Below are 22,143 nucleotides of genomic sequence, written 5' to 3' on the forward strand. Positions count from 1 at the left end.
TTCTCCTGCCTCAGCCTGCCAGAGTTGCTGGGACTACAGGTGCGCACCACCACACCCAGGAGTTCAAGGCTGCAGTGAGCCATGATCGTACCACTGCACTCCAGCCTGGGCAACACAGCGAGACCCTGACTCCACAAATAAATAAATCAACATCATATGATCTGTACCAGGGTATAGGCAGGTGCTATGATCCCCACTTTTCATCCTCAACTCTAAGTTGAGTCATACATCAACCTCTAGTAAAAAGTGGCATGCTCTCAGTCAAAGGGGTAAGCCCAAACCACGTGGAGAGAATCTTATCTCTTTTGAGAGCTAATATAAAAAGAATTCCTCCTAGGCATAAAAATATTGTGACATCAGTTACTTAGGCTAAACATGCCTATTATGCTAAGTGAGTTATTAACAATAAATACTTTAACTCTGTGCCATGTTACTTATCATAATCTGATTTATAATTTGTTTTAACCTTAGGTTATATATACCTTGAAGCCATTTATATTTTGGTATACTTGTAATAATTACTATACACTGGACTATGTATATTGGACTAAACACGGAGAGTCAAAAAAGAGTATGTGGTCAGAGTAGAAATCATGCCCTAGCTTCCTTCGTGTCTACCTCCTACCTTGAGTAGAAGTGGTAGAAAAAGTAATTACCTAAGATTTTTTGGATTCTGGTTTGTGGAGAAGCACCCTTATATTTAGGCTGATGGGCGGCAAAATTAGAAAGTATTTTTTGTGATTTAGACTTTTATACAGAGATGTTCATTGTGATTAATCTTTGTATTAGCAGATTTTTGCTTTTTATAGCTGCATGATTTCTTGTTTATTATTCATTCATTATTGTCTATTAATAAAGAAAAACTTTATTTCACTGAAGCAGTGATATATAATCCAACTTGGATTTTTAAATAATGACTGACTTTTTTCTTTGGGAATACATTACTGTTAAAAATGTAATTATTAGATACATTACTTTTAATGAATATAAGTGGTATAATTAGAAGGCTGAAAAGAATCCTTGGAAACGTGAGTTTAATTTGATAGCTAAGAAACTGAGGACAAGATACTTATTCTTTGTAGCATATTTTCTAATGTCATTTCATTGTCTCACCAAGAAATACTTGCATAAAGCAAGTTCAATTACAGCATCTGTTGAATATTTAAGGTTGGGTAAAGTGGGTGAGTTTAACAGATATTTTCCCTTATTTCTTTTAGGCGAATCTGGATTGGGAAAGTTGACATTAATCAACTCATTATTCCTCCCAGATTTGTATTCTCCAGAGTATCCGGGTCCTTCTCAGAGAATTAAAAAGCCTGTACAGGTCTAGATATTGGTATTTTTAATTGATGATAAGCTGGAATAATATTAATACACACAAAGCACGTGTTGTAACTTTTATTATGCTTCCTTAGAGGTAAGATGCAAATTTGCCCTCAGCCAGTGTAAGATGGTAAATATGACTTCATAAAATTAAAAAAACAGAAGAAGTACAGTTAATCGAATTATCTTGACTAGAACTTTCCAAATTTGTCCTAAGGATTCTCCTAGAGATGACACTGTGACATAGTAACCAATTCCCCTGGAGTTGTGCTATGTAGTATGATAGTCATTTGCCACATGTTTAAATCAATTAAAATTAATTAAATTAAAATGCAATTTCTCATTTGCTCCAGATATATTTCAAGTGCTCAACAGCCATATGTGGCAAGTGGCTGCCATTTTGTGCAGCACATATATGAAGATTTTCATCATTGTAGAAAATTGCATTGGACAGTGGAGAGAAAACATGATTCATAGAAAAACTATTGTTATTTAAATACAGTGTTCTATATTAGTCAGTGGGATAATACCATATCATAGTTGAATGGCAATAGCAATTCTGTAAGACTCCCAAGCTATATGTGATCTAATTTACTGCTTCTCAGTCTTTGCTATGCATTCCAATCCTGGGTATCCTGTTAAATTTATTTCTTCTAGTAGTTCTGAGATGGGCTGCCTTTCTACATTTCTAACAAGATCCCAGGTGATGCTGATGCTGCTGGATGGTAGATCACACTTTATAAAGCAAGGGGCTAGACTCTAGATATGCACTTTTTATTAAATAGTACAGCAGCCTGTAGCCACATGTGGCTATTAATCTTTGAAATGTGGGTAGTCTGAATTGTGATGTTCTGCAAATATAAAATATGCCACAGATTTCTAAGACTGAGCATGGAAAAGAAAATCTCCGTAATTTTTTATATTGATCGTATACTGCAGTGATAATATTTTGGATGTATCGGGTTAAATAAAATTGACTGATTTCACCTTTTTCCTATTTTAAAAGTGGCTACTAAGAAAATTTTAAATTACTTACATGACCGACATGGTATTTTTATTTGGCAGCGCTGCTCTAAGCTGTTGATGAAAAATATTGTTGGTGAGCTCTGCTTAGGTAATATATAGGACACGAGCAGAGAGGAGGCACGTGAACAGTTCTGGCTGGAGTAGGCTTCATTGAGGCCATGATGCTTTTAGCTGGATTTGAAGAAGTGGTAGTGATCATCCCAGTGCACAGGATAGGAGGACAGTCTATATATTCTGAGCAGTAACTCATATATATCATACTGCAAGACCCCAAAGGAGTAATTTTGTGAAGTAAATCTTATTTCTCCTTTTTAATGTTTCTATTTTAGGAATTTTTTTTTTTTTTTTTTTTTTTTTAGTAACCTTCAGAGGGCTTGAGATTTCAAATTACCTGCAAAATTCTACTCTAAAAACTTGATCCTACATGCTTATTTATTTTGTGATAAATATTGGAAATTTTAAACCTAAGCAAGAAAATGAACTTTGAACTTTCTTAATTTGGGTATCTATTATGAATACCTTCACTTAAGTATTTATGAATTTAGATATGAAAGGTAAAACTAACCACTGTCCAAATTAATATACAGTTCATTTCCAGAACCCTAGTTTCTTCCATGTGCTCACTCGCATTCAGTATTACAACCCCCAAAGATAAACACCTTACTGACTGCCTTCTCCATAAATTTGCCTGTTCTTGAACGTTATATACGTATACTTTTTTGTATCTGTTTTCTTTCAGTGAAGATTATGTCTGTATTATTTACTCATGTTGGGTGTAGTTGTTTTTTTCATCGTCGTATAATACTCCATTGTGTGAATGTATCAGTATATCCTTTATTATTTATTGTAGATAAGCCTTTGGGTTTTCAGTTTTTTACTAACGGGAACATTCTTGTGCATGTCTTAGTAGACTTAGGCACTCATTGCTGTTGTGTGTGCATAAAGATATAAAGGTATTTGAGTTTATTTTATTTGATTTCTAGTGAGGTTGAACATGTCTTTTGTACTCAATAACTTCAGATTTCATTAAAGTCTTTTGGTAATCTTAATATTTTCTGTCATTTTCTTGCTGATTTATAGGAGCTTGAAAAATCACATTTGAGAAGAGGATTGGATCCTAGCCATAACATAAATATAAGGGTAATTACATCCATGCTGAGAAAGATTTAGGAATGATAGTAAGTTCATTTGAGTGAGTGGTTTGGGCCAAACTTGATAGAGAATAGTCTAGGAAGACATTTACTATAAACGGTAGATTAAATGTTCTTGCCTGATGAATTACATTTGAACTCTGAATGACTGAATCACTCAAACTGCTTATTTGTATTATTAAATGCACATTTAAGTTATGTATTACATGTCTTTAGTGGTGATCACTATTTTATCAGTTCCTCTGTCTTTCTTTATACCAAGTATGACTCATAAACCCAGTATTAATTTGCCAAGAGATTGGCATACTATTTGTATATATGCTTTTCTTTCAAATAATCTGGATTTCCAATGCCCACAATCATTGATCCTAAAGAAAATGTGGGAGTAGGTAAACTCAAACATCCCTACCATCACCCCTGGTAGGAAATCACTGGTGTAATGTATGATATTAACATCTGCACCAATTACTGTTATAGGTGGAACCAAAGTTTTAATCAAAGAAGGTGGTGTTCAGTTGCTGCTTACAATAGTTGATACCCCAGGATTTGGAGATGCAGTGGATAACAGTAATTGGTAAGAAGGATTTGTCCTCACAACTTTCCAGTGTATTTGGGGTATTGGGGTGGTTAAACTTTCTCTTCTTAACATTTTAAAACTCTTCTTAGCAAAGGTCACCAAACTTCAAGTAACATGACAGGTTTGTATACCAACTTTGCCACTTATTTGACAAAGTTTAACTTCAAAGTTAAACAAAGAAGTTTAACTTCTTTGAACCCATTTACTTTTCGATAAAATGGAGATAATACCTATCATAAAATTGTTTTTAAGACATATTCCAAAATAACGTAGCTAGATAGAAGAATTCTCATTATTGTAAGAAATTTAAAACTGTTTGCTTTAATTTTATCCATTTGTATAAATTCTATCTCAATCCTAATTTAAACCTGATATTTAGACCTTCAGTTTTTCCATAAGTCCTAAGTGAAGAAAACAACTATGAAATTTTAGTCTGAAGTAATTATCTTAGTATTTTATAAATAACTTTTATTTTTGTTTGAATTCACATTGTTTTTGAGGTATTTTTCTGTCAACTCTTAAAACTCCTAAGTTCATCATGAAGTTTTTATATTATTTAAAGTAATCTCTCATTTGAAATTTGAAACTGAATATAATTGTTTTCATATTATGAAGTGTGTTATTAATACACTTACTAGTGCCAATAATATGCTAATAATTTCAGCAATAAATATTTTCTTTCATTTGGAAAGTTTTGAAATAATGAATAAAGATTTATTCAACATAATTTATATTTTTGAATCTTTATATAGAATAACTTGACATATCTTCCCTTGGTAAATTCATTTTGCTTATTTGAAAATATTGATTATTGTCCTTTAACAGTCATCAGTTAATTCATATGTAGAATTGCAACTTAATTGTTTTGTTTATTTGCATTCTATAGCTGGCAGCCTGTTATCAATTACATTGATATTAAATTTGAGGACTACCTAAATGCAGAATCGCGAGTGAACAGATGTCAGATGCCTGGTAACAGGGTGCAGTGTTGTTTATACTTCATTGCTCCTTCAGGACATGGGTCAGTAACCTGATAGTTCTGATTCCTTTTTGTTGTTGTTGCTTACTGTTACCTTTATGTGCATATTTGAGTAATCTTTAAGTTTGTGAAGTACATACAACTATACCCATTATTAAGTACCAAATTTCATGTAGAAATGTCTTAGTTGAAAAGCCTTTTTAAGTCCTGTGTAAGCTAACAGTGATTTTACTCCTTAGTTCTTATTCATAAGGATTTTCCCTGCTTCATGGAAATAAACAGTGTTGCCACCATGGTTTGAGGTCTCAATGTGGCAAATTTAGCTTTCATGTTGAACTACCAAATAAAGAGAAGCAGCCAAACCAGTTAGACATATTCAAAATAAATCCAAAGATGCTATTTATTATAAGTCTCATAAGAGATGGTTATCAAAAGCACTTGCATGCCAATGTTTTCTTGTGCCATTTCTTTCTGCAAGAAATCTGTTTGGCTTCTGTTTCACCTTAGCTGTCATAGACATGTCGTTTAAGTATCATATTGTCAGTACTAACCTTTTGTTTATTAGGACATAAGACCTAAGAATCTAGACATTAATCTGATGTGATTGTTCTGTTTGTTATAGTTAGCCTGTACTCCCTTTTTTTGTTCTTTGTACTTCCCCTTTCATTTTGAGTACATATATGTGTCATTTGTAACTGCAGATTTTTCCAATTATTCTTCCTCAGTCTTTTCCTTTGGGTAAGTAACTCAGCATACATAATTCAGCCACCTGGTAATTGTAACGCCACCATCTCTCCACTAAAAGAACTGTAGTAGCATCAGGCTAAATAGCATTAAGTTATCTAACACATTACAGTAGAGTAAACCAATTCCTTCAGGTATACTTTTCTCTTCCATTTTTGGCTTCTCACTCTCTTTTTTTTGTTTGTTTTTATAGATGGGTCAATGCCCATTATCACTCTAGATGGATAAGGGAGCCTTAATTATATACTTATATTTTTGCACTGTCAGATTGGAGTGGGGTAAAAATGTTTCTTCTTTTATGTCTAATACTCTTTTTTTTTTTTTTTTTTTGCTGTGCCGTAGACCATTACATAACTGAAGACTCCCACCTTCAGGCAGGATTGGGTAGTACGTGTTTGTAACTACCTGGCATTGCCTTTTGTTGAGGTAATTTCAGTTTTTATTATTATTAGTAGTAGTAGTATACTTTAAGTTCTACGGTATATCTTCACAATGTGCAGGTTTGTTACATATGTATACATGTGCCATGTTTGTTTGCTGCACCCATTAACTGGTCATTTACATTAGGTATTTCTCCTAATACTATCCCTCCTCCATCCCCCACCCCACGACAGGCCCTAGTGTATGATATTTCCCGCCCTGTGTCCAGGTGTTCTCATTGTTCAATTCCCACCTATGAGTGAGAAACACCTATGCGGTGTTTGGGTTTCTGTCCTTGCGATAGTTTGCTCAGAATGATGGTTTCCAGCTTCATCCATGTCCCTGCAAAGGACATGAACTCATCCTTTTTTATGGCTGCATAGTATTCCATGGTGTATATGTGCCACATTTTCTTAATCCAGTCTATCATTTTATGGTGTTCTCAGTTTACATATTTAAATCACTAAACTGACTATTTGACTTAAAAGGCTCAAAAAAAGTCATCTCAAAAATACAACACACTGCATAACCTTTTATAAGTATTTGTGTAGCTTCTTGAATTTATATTTTTAAATCATTCTCATTTAACTTGTCAGGGCCTTTTCCTGAAAGCCAGCAGAGTGAAATCTTAACCTGCAGTTAAGCCAATAAAATTTGTCAGCTTATAACCAATTTTATTATTTTAGATTTTCTGGACTCTCTCCAACTATAGTAATTCTCATGAAATCACATTCCTGCCATCCCCTTGGGGAAAATTTTATTTCTTAAAATTGCATGGGAAATGAGAGCTTTTTTAAAAGAAAAAAATTTTTATATTCAAATGAGATGTAGTGGCTTTGTGCCATTTCTTATTTGTCACAAGGGGTAAGATGTTTAAAATTGCTATATCTTATATATAAAAATGTACCTTTGAATAATTTCTCAGTTTAACTATTTTTAGAAATGGAGCAAAGTTTTGCCCATTGGTACATGATATTGTGGATTAAGTGAAAGAATATGAGGCTGGGCGCGGTGGCTCACGCCTGTAATCCCAGCATTTTGAGAGGCTTAGGCAGGCGGATCACCTGAGGTCGAGAGTTCGAGACCAGCCTGACCAACATGGAGCAACCCCGTGTCTACTAAAAATACAAAATTAGCTGGCCGTGGTGGCGCATGCCTGTAATCCCAGCTAATAGGGAGGCTGAGTCAGGACAGTTGCTTGAATCTGGGAGGTGGAGGTTGCGGTGAGCCGAGATCACACCATTGCACTCCAGCCTGGGCAACAAGAGTGAAACTCCATCTCAAAAAAAAAAGAATATGACACAGAATTTTATGTATAGAGTTCCAGGTACCCTGCTCACTACGGACTGAAATTCTGTGCAGTCTAACAAATGAATCAGAGCCTTTCCATCTTGTCTGGGTAGTCCCTAGATTCCCTTTTTAGAGGGTTTTGTTTTTAGAGTGATTATAAATTCGTCCAACAGTGCACTTTCAGTGCCTTCTACCTCCCTCTACCAAGTATGAACTGCATGCATGGCTGATTTATGATTTCGGCTATTATCGCTTCATGTGCGTTGTTCACTATTTTGTAACTGTTATTAAAGTAAAATACTGACTTGGAACATGAATTTTAAAATGGTGTTTTATCCTTCTAGTATTGATTCCCAGTTTTAGAAAAATTGGTGTCATCCAGTGAGTTTTATACAGAAGGATTTTTTCCCTTAGAAATATATACATACATACAAAAAAAATTTGTCATTTTCCCTGTAGTTGTTTATTATGCTGTAGAATTTGAGGCTAAATAGTCTTTTCTCTCTACTGTGGGTTTACCTTCTAGAAATGATAAAGGATTTTCTATTGCTAAAAAACAAGATTTAAAAACTAAATTTGTTGATGAAAAGACTAGCCAATATAAATCTAAATGGACAGAGGGAAAAAATTCACCCAGAATGTAATACACATGTGAACTAAATGTTTTCTGTTGCTGACGTTTTGTAGGCTTCTGAAATTTAATGAGACTTTTACAAGGTTTACCTTTTTTCCTAAAGTTTAATTTTTAAACTGACTTAAATGTTTTTTGACCCTTTGGTTATATTTAAGAAGTTGACTTCTCTAATTTCCTTGTCATGTTTATTTTTAAATATCTTTCTCTTTAAAAGTTGGGATACTATAATAAATATTCAGCAAGTATTTTGCATTTAAATATAAAATCTTGTTATTTGGATTTTAATACTTTATATTAAATGCCTTTAAGATTTATTAAAATTTTAGATTAACTGAACTCTGCTTTTTTGTCACTGGATTAATAAGCAGGCTTGTATCTGACATAATAGCTTAATAAGGCAGTGACAATTTAAATTTGTCATGAGTATAAATTGAAAAATCATAATTTAGAAATCGGAGATTGAATATTTCATGGCATTTATATTTAGTGTTTTATATAATGATTAATGAAAAGAAGGAAAACTTAAATTTTTTTTCAAAGATGGATAGGTTCAGGCCAGATGCAGTGGCTTACTCCTCTAATCCCAGCACTTTGGGGACCAAGGCAGGAGGATTGCTTGAGGCCGTAGACTAGGCAACATAGTGAGATCCTGTCTCTACAAAAAATTAAAAAATTAATTGGGGCTGGGCGCAGTGGCTCATGCCTGTAATCCTAACACTTTGGGAGGCTGAGGCAGGTGGATCACCTGAAGTCAGGAGTTCAAGACCAGCCTGGCCAACATGGTAAAACCTCGTCTGCACTAAAAATACAAAAATTAGCCGGGTGTGGTGGTGGATGCCTGTAATCCCAGCTACTCGGGAGGCTGAGACAGGAGAATCACTTGAACCCGGGAGGCGGAGGTTGCAGTGAGCCAAGATTGTGCCACTGAACTGCAGACTGGGCAATAAGAGCGAAACTCAAAAAAAAAAAATTAGTTGGGCATGGGGGTGCACTCCTGTAGTCCTAGCTACTCAGGAGTCGAAGTGGAAGAATTGGAGGCTATGGTGAGCTATGACTAAGCCACTTCCTCAAATATAAGGAAGAATATAATCTGACTAAAGGATTGTCTTTAAATTTAAAAAACTTAGCCTTATGAAAACTTATTACATTGTCCTCATTTTGACATAGATCAGTAAAAAGTTCATTGAAGCCTGACATTTGCAGTCCGCTGGACCAGATGACCTTTAATGTTCTTTCTAAGATTCAATTGCTATGAATTTGGAACCTTGCTACAGGATACCCAGTATTCATTTGTTTGTCTGTTATAGTGCATTGGAGTGTATTCTTATTTTTGTTTAATTAAATGTACATTGGGCATCTCTCATATCACAGGTGAATCTCCCCAGTGATAGACAAAGACATTTAAAATATTTAGGAGTAATAATGGCCCACAAACGAGGTAATTGTGAAAGAAGACATGTGGATCAATGTGTGTTGAAGGAAGTGTTACATATAGGGACAACTTTGAGGTACATTTGGGGACTTAAGAAGTGAATTCTGGAAATAGGTAGCATTTATGTAGTAGTTTAAAAAATATCTGATGCTGGGAAATCACTCCACCTACTCCCTGCAAAATGCCCCAAACCTTTTGTTTCTGATGTACATGGTAGGCATTCAGTAAGTTTAGTAAATGTACTTTTCTGAAGGTGACTGTAAGTTTACTCATCTATGGCTGTTACGGATTTACACTAGTAGTGCTTATGAAGACCACTGAACTTCTTTCTTAAGATCAGGCAGAAGGTTTTTTCAAGGTGATCCAGAGAAGGAAATTCACTTTATGTTGCATTTCTGTAGTGTTCTACCAAATCCAAATGCATTTACTCTTTATGATGAGGTAGTTTGAGTTTTTAATTTATATTTATTGAGTGCCTACTATGGCCAGATTTTGGGGATATCTCAGAAAACAAAGTTCCTTTTCCTATGATTGAAACTAATAGCAAACAAATATGTAATATTGTTAGTAGTATTACAGTAAACAAAAATGAAGCAGGATAAAAGGGTAGAGAATAATAAGAATAATAATTCAGATAGGGTCAGGGTGTCTTTGACGAGGTGATATTTTAGCACAATCCAGAGGGGGAATAGCATTCCAGCTAGAGAGAATAGTAAGCACAAAGGCATTCTTGAATTCTTCCCCTGATGAGATAATTGCTGCAGTGAGTGGGTCCGTAACTTTTTGTGTGTTACGCACTGTACTTTCTTACATTTTGGACTATTGGCATTTGCTAAAATATTCCTTTGACCAGTTCCATTCTCTGATTTTACCTTGAAAAACAAGCCCCTGCTTTTTATGATAGCTCTTTTTCTTGTTTTCCTTCTCTGATTTTTAGGTTGCTAAATGTGATTTGCATACTTTATCACTTAATCTCGCTTAGTCTTGTCAACAACCTTATAGTGGTAGGTGTCTTATTTATCAGATGAAGAAGTAGAGTTTAAGTTACTTTCTCAAGCTTATCAAGTATTAGAAAAACTGGGATTCTAATCTCTCTGTTGTATCACTTTTTTCTGTCTTGCATGACTTCTCTTCTATCACTGTTTGTGGGCAGTATTTCCTCACGGAAGTAGGCCTTGGCCAGTTCTTTTCAATCAACTGTTAATCTCTGAGCTCTAGCTCCATCTATATCTTAAGTCTGGGCTCTAGGTCTGTGCTTTGGTGTGGAATTTTGAACTTCTCACATCTCTACTCTTAGCTCATGCCTCTAAACCCAATACATCCAAAACTGATGTTTGTTCACAAACTGACTTCATTTTATAACATTTCCACTTATTCAATGGGATAACCATTCTTCTGGTCCCTGCTAACCAAAACACTGGAATAGTCTTTGATTTCTCTCTCTTTCTTCATCCTCCACATCTTATCAGTTCCCAGGAACTGTGGTCTTGGTTTCAAGTGTCCATTCTGGTTGCTACTATTCTGATGAATGGATTTCATCACTTGATACCTGAACTTTTTCACTGGTCTTCTATTGAGCTCTATGTATTCTCTCCTCATCCTTCAGTCCCCACACTGTTTTAACCCTCCAACATCTTAGAGTCATGTGAAGTGACTTATCAAAACCAGAGACTCAGGCAGTCACAGCCCTTCATCATTTTATCTTATCCTATATATCCAAGATCATCATGTGCTTTTAAAACTCTCCCTTGTCCACAAGCCAGGATTCTCCAGCCTTTTCCTATGCTTCTCTTCTTCTCTCCCCGTTACAACAACTTGAAGTTCCTCCAAGGCCCCATTGGAGCCCCATCTCCTTCACCAAGTCTTTCCTCTTTACTCCAACTCATTCCAGCTCATCGTTGCATTCCTATGGTGTTTGCCACTGCACCTATGTACTGACTTGTGCCATTCCTTAGTGGTTTCCCACGTACCTTCCTGTTTAGATGGTAAATGGAGGAAGATCTCAGTTCAGGCTTCCTAATGTTTCTTACCCTTCTTAGTACATGGCATGCAGTGGGCATCTAGGCAGCACTTAAATACTTAATTTATTGGCTTTGGTCATTTTGAATATTGCTATTAACTTTGAATTGAATGTTGCAATTAAAAATGAAGGCCAATAAGATCCATAAAAATATATCTGCATATTCAATTTAGATCCTGAACTCAACAATTTTCTTCTAAACTTTGTTTATATTCATATAGTGCCTAGTGCCTATACAGCTCCCTGAGATAGGTAGGTGAGGTATTACTATCTTTGACTTTCATATTACATTTCACATCAGACATATTTGTGAAATAAATTTTATAAGTAGTCTGAAGCCCAGAGAGGCTAAGTGACTAATCCAGGGTCTCTTGGTTAGTATTTGGCATAGACAGAACTACAATTTTGGGCTTCTTTCTCATTCTGGTTCTCATCTAGTACCTTTTCATTTGAGTGCTGGAAAATGTATCCCAGTCAACTGAATTGTGGAGTCATATTGCCTCCCCCTTACCAACCAAGTGATGGCAATACTAGGAAGAGGGGCAAAAGAAAAGTCAGAAATATAAGTGATAAAATAAATGGAAATGTTTGAAATGGATCATCGACCTCCTTTTACCTATTTTAGCACCTCACAAATATCCCACTCTGACAGTGCTTTGTTAGTTATTTATAAAATATTCCTTAGGAGATTGGTCTTGCATAAGACATGCTTTTACCGTGGTCCTTTTCCCGGTAATAGTCACTGTCAGGGACAAAAAGTGCCTGATTGTGTTCTGTTTGTCATGTAGGTGGGAGGGAAAGAGGGAGAGAAAGCTGAGTTGAACTGAAGCAGAGCTTTTTACAGCTCTATTGTTCTACTGTCAGAGAGCAATTATACTCCAACTTCCATCCACCTCAGACATCCCAACCTCCTCCTCCTGCCAATGCTTCCCCACACACTTAACATACAGCCACACAACCGAGTTCTCTGGGGAGAATAGGGTGCTTTTAATACCTCCCTCTGCCCTTCAGTGAGTTCAGGGCTCTGCTTTTTAACTGCTAATGTATTTTAGTAAAGTTTGGCAATTCAAGCTTTTCTAGATGTTTCCTTTTCGGCTCTGGAAAATTGGAAAAAATAATTTTTAACTATATATATTTAAAATATTCAGTGGCATTATGATATTGTCTGAAAGGCATTCTGTGACTTGATGCAAGATCAGAAGTTTTTTTTCTTTCTTGGAGAAGTAATAAAAAGAAAAAAGAGATCGAAGTTTTTATCTCACAAGATACCTCATATTCAGTTCTACATACTGAAGACCTAATCCAAGTTCTTACATGTCTATAGGGCAAATGTTAACATTTTTAAAAAGCTATATTTATTTGGTAATATGAACATATGTTTGTAGATTAGTTAGTCTACTCTTTCCATACCTAATAAAAGTTTAAATTCCAGACATGTGAAGAAAATTTGCAGTGTGTCTCTTTGCCTTAGCTAACTGCAAAAATTGAAATCACAACCCTACCATAGACCCAAACGTGTTTCCAATTGAGAAAGTCTTCTACCTTCACAGCCTCTAAGTAATATAGTGGTTATTTGTTTGAAGGATGTGAGAGTATTTTGTTGAGAAACTGTAGAATGACATAACAAATTTTAGTTAAAATGTTAGTTATGGTTGACTCTGTACTTCTGATATCCTGGATTTGTATATGAGAGCAATGCTAGTAAGATGCCTGCTTCTGAATGCAAGTTTGGCTGGGAAGACAGCAGAGAAATAGAAGAAATATTATAAAGTAATGGAGAAACCTCAAAACAGTACAGCATGGATGTTGACTTTGAAAACAACAGCTGCTGACGTGAACTTGGCAGAAATTTGTGAGTAATAGTGGGTGACTCATTGCAAGCAGGGGAGTCTTGCAGCTTTTGAGGTGAACAGGCAAAGGGGAGAACAGTGATGGTGGCCACCCAAGGGCCAAGTGTTTATGTCCTAAATGTCAAAATGTCTTTGATCTCCTGTTAAACTTTGCAGCTGCATCATTCACATGAATAGTTGCATTTTTTTTTTTCTAAAAATGCAACATATTTTCTAAAGCATTTGTTTTTAATCTGGGATGATTCTGAGGTGGGAGGTAAGTTGGTGGCAGGACATACTACATGATTTTTGTTATTGTTATTATTTTTAAAAATCACGCATTGCTGGCTTTCCCCTATACTCCTGGAGATGCCATCATGTATGTATAGCTAATTCTAAAAAGGGCTTGTGTGACTCTTCATATGAGAAGGGGTGGTTATTTGTGGCTTGAAAAAATTGCTTGGGTGATTCTGATCTTTCTCTTTCACTCTGCTGAAAACCATTGTTTCAAAGCCAATAATAAATATCTAAAGAAGTTTTACTTCATTTCTGTGGTGTTCTCAGAATTGTTACAGTAGGTTTAAACCTTTGCCTGGTTTGGAAATCTTGACTATTTGAGGGAGACAGCCCTGTTAGAGTCTTTATTTTCTTCCTGTCTGAGAATTCAGTTATCATCAATAGTGTATTCTTAGGCAGAGTCAGAAAGTCACCTCATCTGAGAAGCCACCTGTGTCCACAGCTGGGAATTTGCAGAAGTCAGTCACTGAAGGAAGGCTTTAGGATATTTATGATAAAACATAGCAGTACACTGGGATCCAAACCCTGGGAAACCTCAACTATTTTAGAGTATGTGTTGATAACAATAGGCTATTGGATAATTGCCAGACTACTCGAGGAGTCTAAGAGTTGGATAAAGACTTAAAGGTGAAAGGAACTTGGAAAAATATCCTCTTCAGGTATTTTAAGGGAGGCAGTTCTCAGAATGAGAAGCTTTTCTGGAAAAGGTTAGCACTTTGCTTCAGAAGAGAAGCAGGGCAAAGGTGTAATTCTTCATTTAATGTAGTACAACCTAAAGGGTAAACCTTAACCTCTCACTTACACACATACCCGCACACTTACATTCTTTTGATCAGATTTGTATTTTAGAAGGCTTCATTTGTCGCCAAATGTGGGTGATACTTGAGGGACCCCTTGGAGGAGAAGGCTAATTAGATATTACTGTAACCTTGCTGAGAAATGACTGAAACTAAGATGGTAGAAGTGAGATTGGAGAAAAGAGAACCACAGAAATGTGGCAACACACTAGGTGGCTGTCAGAGATTTGATTAGCAAACAAGACAGTAGATGTCAGCTGTGTTAGATGGGTGTGTATCTCCCAAGAGCATCGGGGCACAGAATTCCCTTTTCAACTAGCTTATCTATATGGGATATCAACTATTGAAATACAGATAAAGTCCCCTAATGGCATCCTGTCCATCAGAGATTGAAATTTGCTTCAGTAAATGTGTCTATCCTTTTCAATAGGAATTTGCCTCTTAAGTCATCTCACATTTGTTTAAGTAGGATCACTCTCTTTAGTAACTTAAATTGACTTTTTAATATCTACGTTTATTCATTCATCCATCCTTTTCTACCCATAAGTCGAACAGGCACAATTTATGGAGTTTAAATGAAATAAAAATTGTTTTTCATCTTTATCTTTCACTAGGAGAAGTTTTATTCCTGGGCCTGCATTAAAAACCTAGGCAGCCCTATGATTTTTCTGGTCATTCAAGTAATAAATGTTTTATCAGAGCCTCTGAGTTGCACAACTCCAGGGGGCAACATTTGCATTGTAATCTTTATAAATGGAGTCTCCTGGAGCCCAGCTTCAATAGATTGTAATGGGATGGTGCCCCTATAGTTTTGCAACATAGTCCTTGTGGCCTAAGTTCACTTTAATATAAAAAAATCAGTCTTAATTCAGTATTTACTATATTTGTCTAATATATTCAAAATTAAGAGTTCTCCTCCCCAGCCCACTACCTAGCTGTAGGCAGGCCCCAAGACCTGGCTGTAGGCAGGCCAGCAGTCTTCAAGGAAGAATATGCCATAAACCTTCATGCTTAACCCCTCTAGGATTGGAGGGTAGGGTAAAGAGCAGAGAGTTAGGGGCCCTGCAACCACCCAGGCTCTCAGTCTAACTCTCCAAGTGTGGCAGTGCCTCAGTTTCAGTTGGCCACTCTCTGTGCCCTTCAATTTCTGTCTTGCAAGAGTATATCCCAAAGCCATTTATTTCTAGGTTGCCTCAGCCCTCACAGACTACACTCTTGGACAGAAAACCTCTTTAAATAACCCTAGGCTGATATTTCTACCTCTTGTTCTTCATCTAGTCCCTAGAATTCACATACTTTTGACCCACTATTAAAACAGCATACACTACCTTCCTGGTCTCCTACCTCTATCCTGCTGTCGTAGGCTGCTTTATCAGGCTCTGATAAGGGTCAGGCATTACCTTGTATGCCCCCAGTCAGGGCTGTGACTAGAGTGGAATTAGTAATACATGTCTTTTGAGTGCAAAATTTAAGAAAGTACCAGAAAACTCAGTAATTAAGATGAACATGTCTTTTTTTTTTTTTTTTTTTTGAGATGGAATCTTACTCTGTTTCCCAGGCTGAAGTGCAGTGGCACAGTCTCAGCTCACTGCAACCACCACCTCCTGGGTTCAAGCGATTCTCCTGCCTCAGCCTCCCAAGTAGCTAGGATTACAGGCACACCATGCCTAACTAATTTTTGTATTTGTAGTACAGACGGGATTTTGCCATGTTGGCCAGGCTGGTCTTGAACTTGCAACCTCAGGTGATCTGCCCACTTCGGCCTCCCAAAGTGCTGGGATCACAGGTGTGAGCCACTGTGCCTGGCCAAGATAAACATACCTTAAGAAAATTTTTAAAAATAATTATTAATATAAAAAACCATGATGAACAAGATACCAAAAATTTAAATACAAGATTGTGCAGGAAATACTTATGGAGTTCAGTGACTATCTTGAAATGTAGTACATACAACCATCATCACTGTTCCTTCACAGTACATTTATTTTTCCACTGAAATAATCCTCACAAAATTCTCTCAATTACCATAATCTTACATATCTATGTTGTGGGTATTAGAACTTAATATCAGTCACCATCCTTGAAATTTAGGCTCTCTGGTCCAACGTTTCACTTTGAAATGTATTTTGTATATTGTTGTATCAGTCAAAATTTCCAATTTAAATTATAGTTATCCATCCATCCATCCATCCATCCATCCATCTGTCCATTTATTTATTGGGTTTGTGTATGAAGGAGAAAAAATAGAATCTTCAAATGCTAATGATTAATCCATTTTAACGACTATAAAATGGAAATGTGTACAGTTACAAAGGCATACTAAGTTGGTCTGCCTCATCAAATAGGCCTGGGCAAAAATTGGTAGGTAAAATTAAAGGGAATCACAGTGCATTTTACTCTCATGATCTCTGTTAGAAATGTCCCACTAAACATGTTACGTTACCAACTCTTCTATTATGCCCTCATCTCTACCTCTATAGATTTAGCCTTTGTGAGCTATTCTGAAACAGCTTATTCCACAGCTTCTGGTCAATTTTTAGACAATGTAAATAGAGATCCACCTTCAGATATAGACTGGTGAGTCTGGTCTTGTTCAGAGAACAATTAAGGACCTTCAAGCTAGTGAATTGTCAATTCCTTTGTAAAAAGTGTTTTATTAACCTTCAGCTACCTTGGAGGTAGTTGTTGACAGAGCATTATATTAAAACTTGTATTAAAGAATACAGATATGCATTGTATTAGAGGCTTTAGGACTTTTTTCAAAACGAACCTTGAAAAACTTCTTCAATTTTTTTTTTTTAAAAGCTGTTCTATTAAAGGGATAATATAGTGAATAAATATTTGTTGTCTGTTTAACTTACCTTATGTAGAGCTATTGGCTCTAAGGATTTTGAAAGGACAACAATAATTCTCTAAAAATAATTCAGGCACCTTTGGCCATTTGTGTAACCAGGTACAAATTACCACGTTTCCCAGTTTCCCCCTTGAGTCCAACTGTAATGTATTGTTCTGTAAAGTATAGTCCAGTTGTCAGCTCTGTTTGCCTTGGTCAATTGAATGATCCTCCTCCTTAAGCTTAGCCTATAGTGCATTTGGCTTAATAAATGAAACTGTAACATGCCAGCCACACAATAGAGGATTTTATAGAACTGTTTCTGCTTGGAATACTATAATTGGAATTTGAGTTAACTATAATTAAAAAAGCTTTCATAGCCCATGGTATATGAACTCTGAAACCCCAAATACCAAAATCCTACTATATAAAAATGATCCACATACTAAAAAAAAAAAAAAAAAACCAGACACACAAATCGAGTTTAATTTCGTATCATGCTATTTTCCTAAAATATAGTTTCTAAAGTTATTGCAAATTAGTTCCTGCTGCTTGGTAAAATACCATATTTAAACTTAATTACAACTGCCTTCCTGCAATGAAGGGCCAACTTTTTCAAATAATGTGTTACAGCCCAGTGACTCTAGGGAGTCTATGGTCCCATTGCTGCAAATGAGCAGATCGGTGAAAACAAAAACATATTAAGAAGTCCACATTTCTAACAAACACCTTGCAAAGAATAAAATGGTAATTTAAGGAATATGTCCACTTAATATACATTTCATGTATATAGGACACATAATACAATAAATACCCTTTTTACTACCCCCAATTTAAGAAGTAGACTAGTATAATAGAAGGCATATCTCCTTGGTACTCAGTATTTCTAAAAGGCAGTAATGGCTGTCTCCTCTAAGCACCTGAGATGATATGCCTCTGTGCACTCTAGCCTTAGAAATATGCTTATCTCCTGCAGGCAGAGCATGCTGGAAGTGCCAGGGAGTTAAGGTTACCAGGAACAGCCCTCAACTAATAATGAGGAAAAGCTTGTGGATAAATATCCAAGCCCCCTGCCTTCAGGTAGGAACACTGATATTTTATTAGATTGGTGCAAAAATAATTGCGGTTATATAGTCTCAAAGAGGAAACAGTCTCCACGTGAAATCGAGCCCCAGTTGTCCACAGTAATAACCCGCTTATTAACTTAGCCTATATGGATTTACTTTCTTCTCATCTGTCTTCTCTGCTTTCGCAGGGAAATAAGTAGTTCACTAGTGTTTCCTGTGATAACCTCCTGAATAAACTACTTATGCTCAAATCCTTATGTTGGGGTTTTCTTCTGGAGGAATTGCCAAACTGTTGAAGTTCCCTGTGTTCATCCCCAATCTCAGCTCTGTCCGTCTCCCCACCAAGAGTTACTGTTTTGATTTTTTGTGTTTCTTGTTCCTTTCCTGTTTGTAATAATTATACTAATATATTAAAAATATTAGTAACTACACTGGTTTGCTATAATAAGGTATATCTTCCCCCAGAATATAAAGTCCTTGGAGACTTTCCCTAAAGAGTCTAGACCTTGACCATTATGCGCTTCCCAAGCTGTGGCTGCTGCATTTCACATTTTCTTTCAAAATTGGGCAAGGAATTACTAAAAGATGCTCCAGTAGATCATCTGGGTACCAAACATATTTCTTTCTGTACCCAGTGTAGAATAGCAACCCTACTTTTTTATGATGCTCTGGGTCAGTTACTCTTGCCAGGATAGTGACTTCTTTCCTTGGTCTCTCAGCACACAGACCCCAAAGTGACTGTGTAGCAGCCACAGCTTAAGTTTAATGGAATTTCTGCTGTGTCTGCTGAAGGAAGCATTTCCTTTAAAAAATAGGATTTCTAACTCACAGAGCCCAGAGTTGAGGGAGCGAGAAGTGATGGCAAAAGGACAATTTCTGCTGTTACCCTTTAGTTTCCAGATCCATGTATTTGGTCTGTTGAAGACAGACTACCATATAATGATTAGTAATAGGTGTATACTTCATCTTGGAGGATGCAGCCCTACCCTTGAAGTATATCAGCTCCAATCTTGTTCTTCAGCTGTCCCTTCAAAAGGCCAGCTTCTGGGCTATGTGGCAGGTTATAAATCCAGTGGATCTTATGATCATGTACCCAGGGGTGTACTGCTTTTGCTCTGAGTTCTTTGGTCTGATGTGATGTCACACAGGATTCCATAACAATGGATCAAACACTCTGTAGCCCCCAGATGCTGAGGCTTTGCCAGCAGGAAAGGCAAAACCATACCCTCAAAATGTGTCTGTTCCAGTCAAGCTTAATTGCAACCCCTTCTAGGGTAGGACAGGCTGAAAATAATCAACAGGCCAGAGATCTCCTCCAGGGATGATGTTATTAGGAGCTCATCGTTGGTCTCATTTGGACATTTGACAGAGGCAGCACTGTATCAGCTTGGAGTGGGAATCCACGGACCCATGCATAGCCTTCATCCCTCTATCATGACTGTTTATTCGTGTGACTTAGTTTTGTCCCAGACTGAAACTCTAACAGTCTAGATAAGAACCTGTCTTTCATAATATGAGTTGGATCCCTATTCCATACTACCCCTAGGCCTGCCTTGATGCATGTCTGGACTGATAAATTATTTTCTTTATTAATTTATTTATTGAGACAGGTTCTCACTCTGTCACCCAGGCTGAGTGCAGTGATCATGGCTCACTGCAATCTCTGCCTTCTAGGCTGAGGCAATACTCCACCTCAGTCCCAAGTAGCTGGAACTATAGGCACGTGCCACCATGCCAGCCTAATTTTTTATTTTTTGTAAAGACAGGGTCTTGTTCTGTTGCCCAGGCTGGTCTCAAACTCCTGGGCTCAAACAGTCCTCCCACTTCGGCCTCCCAAAGTGCTGAGATTACAAATGTGAGCCATCAGGCCTGGCCTTATTTCTTTAAATTTAATCTGCCTACAATTTTAAAAAATTATGCATTCTTGACAAAATTGTATTTAGGCATTTTTTTAAACAAATATTTATTTCTCCTTCATTAGCAAGATAAACACTGTTAATTTATAGCTTTTCCTATAAATTTCATTTCTCCTATTCTTTGGAATAATCCCACAATCATTAAGCCTTGTTTCTGACATGGAGAGATGAGGGCAGATTTTTTTTTTCCTTTTTTAGATTTGTTGTGTTAATTAAATCTTATGGTGCTATAACATGCAGTGGTTAAAAGGGTTGGAGAAATCACCTTGTTCAAATTATAGTAGAAAATTTATAGCTAATTGAATGACCTGAGGCCGGTTACTTGACCTCTTTGGCCTCCAGTTTTATCATATCTAAAGGACAATAATGTATATCTCAGAGGGTTTTTGCAGAGATTGAAAATGTATGAAATGCCTAACACAGTAGCATATACCTGGTTTGGTTATTTCTGGTTACAAAACCAAGCCTCACAGTGTGTAACCAAATGGGAATTCCATTTCTATTAGAGCATACTTTCATTTTGAGAGCCTTGATAGGCCAGGGGAGACAGGAAAGTCAAAGTTTTGAAATTTTCTTTCACCAGTGACTCCCATAGACTTGATTATGGTCAGAGTGTCATACAAATCTAGGCTATACACAGACATGTTTCCAAGCTAAAGTGATAAGATGTCTAAAAGAAATATTTCTTAGTCTGTGTTGAATTAATGCTGCAGAAGGTCATGGGTGAGTGAATTACTTTCAGAAGGGAGGAAGCAATAGCAATAGTGAGCAAACTGTGTATGAGGAGACCCTATGAAGCAAGGGCATTCTGTATTGAATATTGCAACTCAAGGACCAATTCAAGGTTCCTTCTTGGGAACTTTTATAGAGAGACACAGACCATAAAAGAAGGGTACAGAAATTAAGATGTTGAGAGAAACAATACTACCATGCCAGTTTACATGCAAAGAGCTACTTCTGTCTTTTGGTTCAGATGGGAACTATGGGAATGAAAGCTGCTAGTGTTTTGTGGAATCTTTTCCAGAATATTTTTATTGTTTTTCTCCTATGCTGATTATGAAATCAATATAGGCTTATCTCAGAAAAATCAGAATATGTAGAAAAGCAAAAACAACTCCAACAAAATCACAAAAAATTTTCTCCATTCAGAGATAGCCATTATTAGCAACTTGTCTATCCAATCATATCCTTTTTTTAATTAAAAAAGTTCTATATAATAGGATTTTGTAATCTGTTTTTTTCACTAAATACTGTCATCTCAATAGAGCTTATTTTTACATGATTTTGAAATATGCCTGCATGGTATTCTTCTATAGGAATGTATTGTAATTTATTTAATTAGTCCTCTAAGGGATGGGCATTTATATCATTTGAAACTTCCATTATTATAACTTTGTACAGGTTTTTTTTAATCCACATCTTTAATTATTTACTGATGAGAAACTCTTAGAGTTGATTTGTTGGAGAAATAGCCATGGTACAGTCAGCTCTCTCACAGATGAGGGTGAGTGTTCCTACCTCTAGGATGTGTCAGAACACCCTGGCTGCCTACAAGTGCTCTCCTCCTATTTCATTTCAGATTGTTTGCTCTGCCCTGGCATGCAATACCCTGGGTTAATGTTGCCTAGGAACTCTGCTCTGTAGGACTGGATTCTATCACCAAATTGTTTTGCAAATAGCTTATAAAAAGAAAGATAAAATTGTAGTTGACAAATACAAAGTGAGGTATTCTGTAATGGTTAAATAAACCCCCAATGGGGAATAATAGATACATATTCTAGGAAGAAAGGAGTTTGTTTCCACAAGGG

General features: G+C 36.4%; 1 pseudogene across 1 annotated transcript in view; it reads left to right on the forward strand.

Moving 5' to 3' along the window:
• The window catches only part of SEPTIN7P14 (septin 7 pseudogene 14), a 44,810-nt pseudogene that overhangs the window by 1,971 nt on the left and 20,696 nt on the right, over positions 1 to 22,143 (forward strand). Inside the window, exons 2-5 of the transcript NR_037630.1 lie at positions 3,430 to 3,489; positions 3,978 to 4,074; positions 4,964 to 5,098; positions 6,143 to 6,226. The product of NR_037630.1 is annotated as a septin 7 pseudogene 14 (transcript). The remainder of the gene's footprint in view (positions 1 to 3,429; positions 3,490 to 3,977; positions 4,075 to 4,963; positions 5,099 to 6,142; positions 6,227 to 22,143) is intronic.

This window comes from Homo sapiens, chromosome 4 (genome assembly GCF_000001405.40).
Source record: "Homo sapiens chromosome 4, GRCh38.p14 Primary Assembly".
NCBI lineage: Eukaryota > Metazoa > Chordata > Mammalia > Primates > Hominidae > Homo > Homo sapiens.